Raw genomic sequence first — 8,349 nt, forward strand, 5'->3', positions numbered from 1 at the left:
TACAGGACTAGAAAAGGAAATGAAAATGTAGAAAGAAAACCCAATATGTGTAACATAGAATTCAAAAGCCAAGAGAATTTCAGGAAGGGAGATGTCAACAGCATCAGTTCTGCATATGGGAAAACAATTATTAAAAAACTGTGAGAAAAAGTAATTGGGTAAAATGAGTAGGAGATAAGGACTGATATTTATTCTAACATCTTTATTAAGTGTGTACCATGTGTTAGGCAATTTCAAAGCTTAGGTCTTAGAGATAAGACAAACTAGGTCCCAGCTCTCATACAACTTAAAATTGAGTTGGAAGAGAAAAAATAATAAGTACCAGAAATGTTAGATACTATTCAGGAATTTGAAGAGAATGTGTGAATATAAAGTGACTCGTGGATATTTTGGATTGGATTGGAGGGGAGGTGGGGACAAGGAAGGCCTGAGGGAGGGATAACTTGGCTGTAATCTGACTGACCAGAAGGAACCAGGAACAAAAAGCAGGTAAGTTACAGCAAAGTTCCTATTGCAAGAAAAAGCTGGTAAAGTTCAAAGATGCCAAGCCTGGCAATAGCACAGTGAGCAAGGCTGAGAATTATATGAGATGAGGTTGGCAGAGTCCATAATATTGTAGGCCAGTGTAAGATGTTTGGAATTTATTTTCAGTGTGATATGAAGCCACTGGAGGGATTTAAACACAAGAATGGCACCAAGTTTGTGTTTTAAAAGGATAACTGACAGTTTTATGGAGAATGCATTTTAGAGATGTATGATGGGAAACAGAGCTATTGCCACCCTCCAGATTAGAGACTGACTACAGTGTCTTTGACTAAGGTTCACTAAGAAAGCAGTTTCATTGAAAAAGAGGGGCTGGGTGTGAAATTTGCATGGGTGCAGGGACAGCTGACATCTTTTTTGTTTATGTGCTTCAAATGTGAGATATGGATGCTTGAAATGAGGAGCATATTACTTTTCTACATGTAAAACAATATTGAGATTTTCAGAAGAGAAGAATGAATATAAAAAAGTAAGTTCATTGCAGAAGGAGTTTACATTTTGAAAGAAGAGCAAGAATAACAAAAGCAGTTCTGTGAAGATGGTGCTTGGAATGTAAACTTTTCATAGTTTATAAATAAGCATCTCTTTCCATTCTTTCCTTTCTCTTTTAGAAGAGAAGAGTGTACATGGTGGTTAAGAAAATAGCAAAGCCCAGCAAATTTGAGTCACTAGAGCTTCGGTCATTCTTTTGGGATTTGTAGATCAATGTCAATGTATATTTCTTGTGTTAGGTGCCACTGGGCTCTCTCTGGGTTTCAGAGGAACTGAGCAGAAAAGTCGGGATGTAAGACCAAAGCAAAAACAAAGCAAAACAAAACTAATAATAAAAACACATTTTTTTTCCTAGGAATTTTCCTTCTGAAGAGGGCCAGGTTATGAAAATAGGCCTAGGAACAGTGTACACTGGGCAGGAGACTAGTGAAGCTCTGAAAAGATTCAGAATATAAAATTCCTGCCGAAGAGTAATTTAGCGCACGTGACCAAGCACTTCACTAATGTGACCTTCCAGCTCCTCAGCTGTCTTATATAAGATCATGAATACAACAATCAGAGGGGAACCCTTGTTTCATAATCTATTGGTAATGACTTTCAAGAGGAGAAGAAACTTTTGCAGCTGCAAGAGCAGCTACAGCCCACAGGATGGAAATTTTTTTTTCCTTGACAACCCAAAAAGACAAAGAAAGTTGAGCTTTGATGACATGTATTTTTCCTAGAGGATGTTCTCTCAAGTAGAAATTAATCTCTTAAGTCTCTTCGTTCCCCCCTAATGGATTCTTTCTAGGAGCTAGACAAAGAGGTGAAATATTTTGGTGGCATTATGTGAGCATATTGTAATTCATTTTAGAAAATGTGTCATAATAAAGATTCTTTATTAGATATACCATTTGTTTCAAGAACATTGAGATCTGCCAGATTTCCAGAGATAGAAATTATTATCATGTTACTGACAAGAAATGAAGAGATCTTTATAGTAGCTGGAAAGTTGGCCCAGAATATCACCAATATCTCTTGTGGTTCTAAGATTATATAAAGTCCACGGCTCCTATTGGAAGCAAGGGATTGAACCTGTCATCTTGACTCCTGAGCTAAATCCACAAAGTCTGACCTTTTGGAAAACAGTTTGTGTGCATTGGGGGCGAGGGGGAGTGGAAGATGTTTTCAAATACTCCAAGCACAGTCTGCTACTTGTTTTTTAAAGCTCCCAGGACTTCTAGATGTTATTTTTTCCCATAATAAGCATATGAAAGGTGAATTTTTATGGCTTGGGGATTGGTATGAGTTTCATTCATGGTCTGCTTTGCTGTACTACTTTTAAGAGCTGAAAGTGTATATGTCATCTCTAATTGGAACTCCCAGGCAGAAATGATGCCATCGGGGAGCTTAAAATATGTAGCCATATGAATCACCCTGCAGACCAACCATATTGCTATAAAGCAAATAATTTACATTTAAATAACTTATCTGCATTCACCTAATTTAAAAGTAATCTTTATTCTTTCTCAACTAATCCCCAAACTTATGGACTAGTTTGATCATATTTGTGCAATAAAATTGAAATTTTCAGATATAGTAGGTAATCAATTTTAGTCACCTCATCTGCGTTTCCAATCTCATTACAGATTGCAATTTTCAGTGCAGATTACATGATGACCCATCAGTGGCTTTGTTGTTTCTGAATTACCGATTCCTTGCCTACTGCCAGATAAGAACAAAGCCTATGCATCAGCCTGACAGCTTGCAAACAGAAAATGGGCTTGTAGGATTGGATTTAAATCCCAGGTGTAGGGGATAATTACCACATCACTCATGCAGTAACTGAAAAATGGTATTTCAACAAGAAAAATTACATTCCTTTTATAGTGCCAACAGAAATCATTATTTGAGGCTTCACACTGATTCACTGTATCATTACATGTGCACTGTACTCATTAACTGTAATGTTTGTTGCAACATAAAAAAGTTATTGTTTTAGGTACTTTGGTGGAGAAGGTAGCTTAAATTTAAGGTTTATAGAACCTTGATGGTGTAGAGGTCGTTTGGACTCTAATATATACTGTGCAAGAGAAATGACAACCCAGACATAGAGCTTTCAACCGGCTCCTATTACAGGAGGCGTGGATGGATAGTACAAAGAAAATGGAGTATAAATCTTTTGTTTCAAAAACCCCAGCCATTTAACCCTACAGTCTGTCCAGACAAAGAGGACAAATAATGATTCAAATCTCGACAGAGCGGTGCTGAATAGTGCATATTTTACCATTAGCTTTGAAATCATTGAAGCTCAACATATACCTTCTAAAGAACAGAAGGACAGAGACCATATTCACTTGAGAAATCATTAAAGAAAACAGTGGCAAACACACTGGAAGTGCACTCCTCACTGCTGGCATTCGGTCCATACCCACAAAGCTGCGGTTGTTTCCCAATGATTGTGCAAGCAGCACAATGATGAAAGCGAGATTCGGCAGAGTCGTTCGTGTGTAGGTGCAGAAGGCTATGTGTCAACTGCTGAGAGCAACAACTTAGGCTGCATTCATCAGAGCCCTAGTTATGTTTATGGCCAACTGGCTTTCTTATTATGATGATCAGAATAGTGTAAAAAATATGACTTCAAATTTGCTGTATTCTTGCACGAATACCACAAGGAGCCATTGACTATTTGATAGACATAGGTAAGTAAGTAGGTAGGAAGGTAGGTAGGTTGGATGGATGGATAGACAGACAGATAGAATTTTATGTATCAGCTCATAGCGTCTTTGCCTGGAATTCCTAAATTAACATTTTTAGCCTATCCTCCCATGTGCAGGGAGATACTTTTGTGAAGAGGCTTAAAATGCAATTGTGAAGTGCTGAAATATGTCTTTCTAATCTTCTACTCCTCTCACCTCTGTAGTCTTTTGTCTTGACAATATCTTCAGGGTGGCTGAGGCCTTGACAAATACTGAAGCAGGCCTGAGTGTGTGGAAGATGTGCAAGGTTTTCAAATTCTCTTTAAGCTTAGGAAAGTACTTGAGGCAACAGACTTATTTTTCTAAGAGCTGGTTCCTATTCCTTTATATCCTAAGGAAAAATTCATTAGGTGAGGGGTGGTTTACGCAGATCTGCTGCCTCTTCTCAAAGAGGCTTCACTCTAGGTAAGGAAACGAAGGACATTAATGTAAAACAAATAAAAAAATAAATAGTAACGCAATTATGAGTGTTAGGGGCTAAATGAGTAACAAGGTCATAGATCCTACAGAGGAGGCAGTAACCTCTGGTTAAAGGGAGATGAGCACAGAAAGGGAGACAATAAAGGAAGATAAGTCCTTAAATAAACTAAAAAGAGGGCTGAAGACCTCCAACGTAAAATCTTCTTTAGTGATAAGATGAAAAGATAATGTGCTACTTTCCTAGAGGTAAGGTTTTCAAAAACAGGAGCTGGCATGTTGCTGGTAGTTCTCAGGCATTCAGTCATGTTAATCTGAACCTTAATCATAATAAAAATGGACATTTATGTGCACTTTTTCTCTAAAGCACAGTGCTAAGCACTTAAGATGACTTATTTAATTCTCACGCTCATCCTATGAGGTTGTTGTCACACCATTTCAAGCACGTGAAAATTGAGACATGGAGGGATGAAGTAGTCTGCCTGAGAGACGGAGCCTGGATTTGAACCAAGTCTTTCTACAGAGCCTGTACTCTTAATCCTTAGACTACATAGTTATTATGCTGTCACAGTAGATTAGAAACTGAAAAATTTTTTAAAGTCCTTTTTGTTCTCACGTACAAAGCCAACACCACCTAGCCCCAGTCATTTAGCAACTAAAACACAACAAAGCTACTAAGTAAATATGCACTGTGTTGATGGCCATTTTAAAATAATGACTCAAACATCCAACTAACAGTCATAAAGACTCATATCTCAGGTGTGGGTTAAATCTTACATTTTCTTTAAAGAGCACGCTCTGAGCTCCGGCAATGCCAGTATTGAAATTCTGTGTTGTTGGTGGCATTTCATTCTGTTTCTTGAAATGCAAAGCATAACCTATTCCACCCACTCAGAAACTCAGCAAACTTAAAGAGATAAGTCCCTTTGCAAAGATGCCTTGGAGGAATTTATTCCCCAGTCTTATCAGAGAGAACAATGTGGGTTTGGTTCTGGATCAGGTGGTCATATTAGAAAATACATTAAAATGCAGGCTGACAAACAAAACCAAATGCAAAATTACCATTCTGTTCTGCTCCTGACAGCAGTGTGGAAAATGTGATTTCTCTGTATTCGTCCCATCAGGGCCTTACATGGTATGGTTTAATTGGAGGACAACATGTGGTTGAACTGGAGATTGTAAGCCATGTTCAGAAATTAAAACTGACCAGACATGAACGTTGTTTCTCAACTGCATAGTCCTTATGGTACGCACGCCAAATTTTCCACATAATACCTGTGCCTTCTCAGCACCCCATCTCTGGTCACACTTGCTCTGCAGCTCCTAATTTAGTAAGAAACCGAACAGCCACATTCATCTAAGAATCTCTGTGCAGGGAGGCTGATCAATTGCTTCCCCTATGTGAATAAATCTGCTGTGTATTCTTAAAAGGAATGCGATCAGAGCATGTGTGATTTACAAACTATCCAGTATTTTCATTGAGACATAAAAATAAATGGATTTGGTCCTCATTGCAGCTCAGCTCTTTCTCCTGGGGCTGGAGGGATTGCTCGTTTGGCCCCATGGCATGCCCTTGTGAGAGCGGTGAGAAAGCAGCCGCTTACATTACCTGAGAGAACTCTCTTTAAAAGCCTCTGTTGCTCTAAAGAGCTTCGCTGCTTAATTTTGTTTTTCCTGAACGTGTTAGATGTCGCCCGTTGGTGCTGCCTCCTGCTGCCTCATTGTTCACTGCTGGGTCGTGCAATGTCTCCATGCTTGAGAAAGGTGCTGTACAAATTGCACAGAGGACATCTCATCGTGTGGGAGTCTGGGCCAGGCTGGGGAGATCTCGGAGCATTAGCAACTGGCATGCCTGTAGCCTGGGAGGTAGGAGTAGGAGGTTGGGAGGTGGTACTCTCTGCAAGCCATGTATGAATAAGTGAAATGACTAGCCTGAAGTCATATAAGAAAGGAAAGACATGCACAGAGCTAAGGGAAAAGCTTGCACAGAGTTAAGCAGAAAAGAAATCATACATTTGCCTTCCCCATTGCAACATTGCACCTCTTCGTTCTTTGTTAACTTGGCAAAATGGCTTCATGTTTTTCATGACAGGCAGCAGGTTTTCCTCGCTTTCCTGTTGCTGGTCTTATAACTTTCAAATGCTTCACATTGTTTTTTAACTTGCCCTATGAAACATGATTGTGTGAAGAGGAAGAATAAAATTTGTCCCCTCTGGGCAAGACCAAATGTGGCAATGAAGACTGAGACATTAACTGGCTATCCTAGGTTTGTGGGTGGCAAATGTTGCCATGTGCCATCAAAGATGAGCTTTGAATTGTTCAGTGGTAGAAATGTGAGTAAATTGTTAGACCTTGTAAAATGAGACACAAATTCTTTTGCAGTTTTTAGAATTCTGGGGCAGCCAATAAGGCCATATTGGACATAATTATTGCTTAGCTTCATACATGAAATTTAAATTGTCATAGCATCTTTAAGTAGAATATTTTGTAAGACCTGAAACTAGAGATGAGCTATAACCAGTAGACTATTTCTGAGCTTTCCCTAACTGTTCTTAAACCCAAAGTTTCAGTAGAATTGCTCCAGGGCTGTCTTGTTCACTTAATTAATATTTATTAATCACCTGCCAGCAACAAAACTCTATGTGTTTGGTGAAAAAGGAACAACACCAGAATCTGTTTTCAATCATTTTATAATCTAGTAATGGTTAAAGCCTCTCACGGAGGTTATAATATCAGATAGATGTCTGGATTATAGACCCTAGAAGACAGAGGTCATTTTCAGTGGGTGTAACTAGAGAAAGATTCCTACAGCAGGTGCCTTTGAGTTAGGTCTTAATGAGAGGGTGGAATTTGAAAAGCAGAGATAAGGAAAAAATATATAGGCGGAAGGAAAAGCAAGGCAAAGCTTTGTAGCTAGACTAGAACATAGGCTGTATATTTAGGTGTAGAGGAAGAGGGCTGCCAAATACCAGCTCATATTTCATTTGATAGATGATAGGAATGGAAGACAGTGGATGCTGCAGTTCAAGAGAGCACCATAGGCAAAAATAGATTTTAGGAAAATAGAGCTAGAACTAGAGGCAGGGGACCAGTTAGGAGGCTATTGATGGCCCAGGTGAAAATAACAAGGCCTGAAATGACAGTGGGAACATTGGAAGAGGAAAAGAAGAGACAAAGATGAGAGGCATGGAAGGGTTGCTGGACCCCGCCATAGTGCATGAATAGTGGCAGAACTCTGTGTCGGATGGGATGCCCATATCTAACAGAAAGCAGGAGAAGGATGCACCAAAAGGAAGACATGGAAAAAACAAGAGAGAATTCAAATCAGCATTGAAATATATCAAAGGACCAAAGCAAAGAGAGATTTTTCAAATAGGAGCTCAAGGTCAATAATATCAAACACTGTAAGGTTAATGATAAGAATGATAAATAGCCATTAGAATTCAAAATTGGGAAGTCATTGTTCACTGCCAAGAGAAGAGTTTCCAATTACAAAAATTCAGGGGGAGAACTGGTAGGGAAGTAGACATATAGCTCCTTCAGGAGAGTTTATAGTGTAACTTCGTGAGGATGTGAAGTAAGCAAGCACAAATATGCAGATTACGGTAATGTACACAGGCAGTCTTCCTGGAGAGCATTCTGGTGATGAGAACTTGAAATGGGTACCCCTTTGATCCTGCAAATACTTCTTTAAATTTATTTTAAGGAAATATTGTTGCTCATTAAAAAATGATCTACAAGGATGTTGTAGGTTTTTATATAATACTGAAAATTTTGAAGTAACTTAAATGAATGTTGATACATGTGCCATAGAATGTAGAACCATATAATTCTATGAAAATATATTGTATTAAAAGATTCCTGGCACAGAAAAGAGTTTATAATGTGTCTGTTATTCAGTGAATTAAACAGATTATAAGCCAATAAGGTGGGATTTCATTTTTAAATGTAACTATACATACCACAATTGTATACCTGTACACATATTTGTGTAATACACACATGTGCACATGTATGCACATATATATACACACATATATGCACACAGTTATTATACATATAGCCAGATATTTTTTGTCTGCCCGTTCAGACTACATCTCTCCCTTGCACTCTGCCTCCTATCTTCTAACATAATTGGGCCACTTCCACAGGCTTGCTT

At 38.6% G+C, this 8,349-nt stretch overlaps 1 annotated feature.

The window, feature by feature from the left end:
* Positions 2,089-3,520: an enhancer, noted in NCBI's record as "VISTA enhancer hs428". NCBI's record gives its function as "enhancer in: neural tube[6/6] | hindbrain (rhombencephalon)[6/6]" and the evidence as "EXISTENCE:transgenic organism evidence [ECO:0001131][PMID:17130149]".

Source organism: Homo sapiens, chromosome 14, assembly GCF_000001405.40.
Source record: "Homo sapiens chromosome 14, GRCh38.p14 Primary Assembly".
Lineage (NCBI taxonomy): Eukaryota > Metazoa > Chordata > Mammalia > Primates > Hominidae > Homo > Homo sapiens.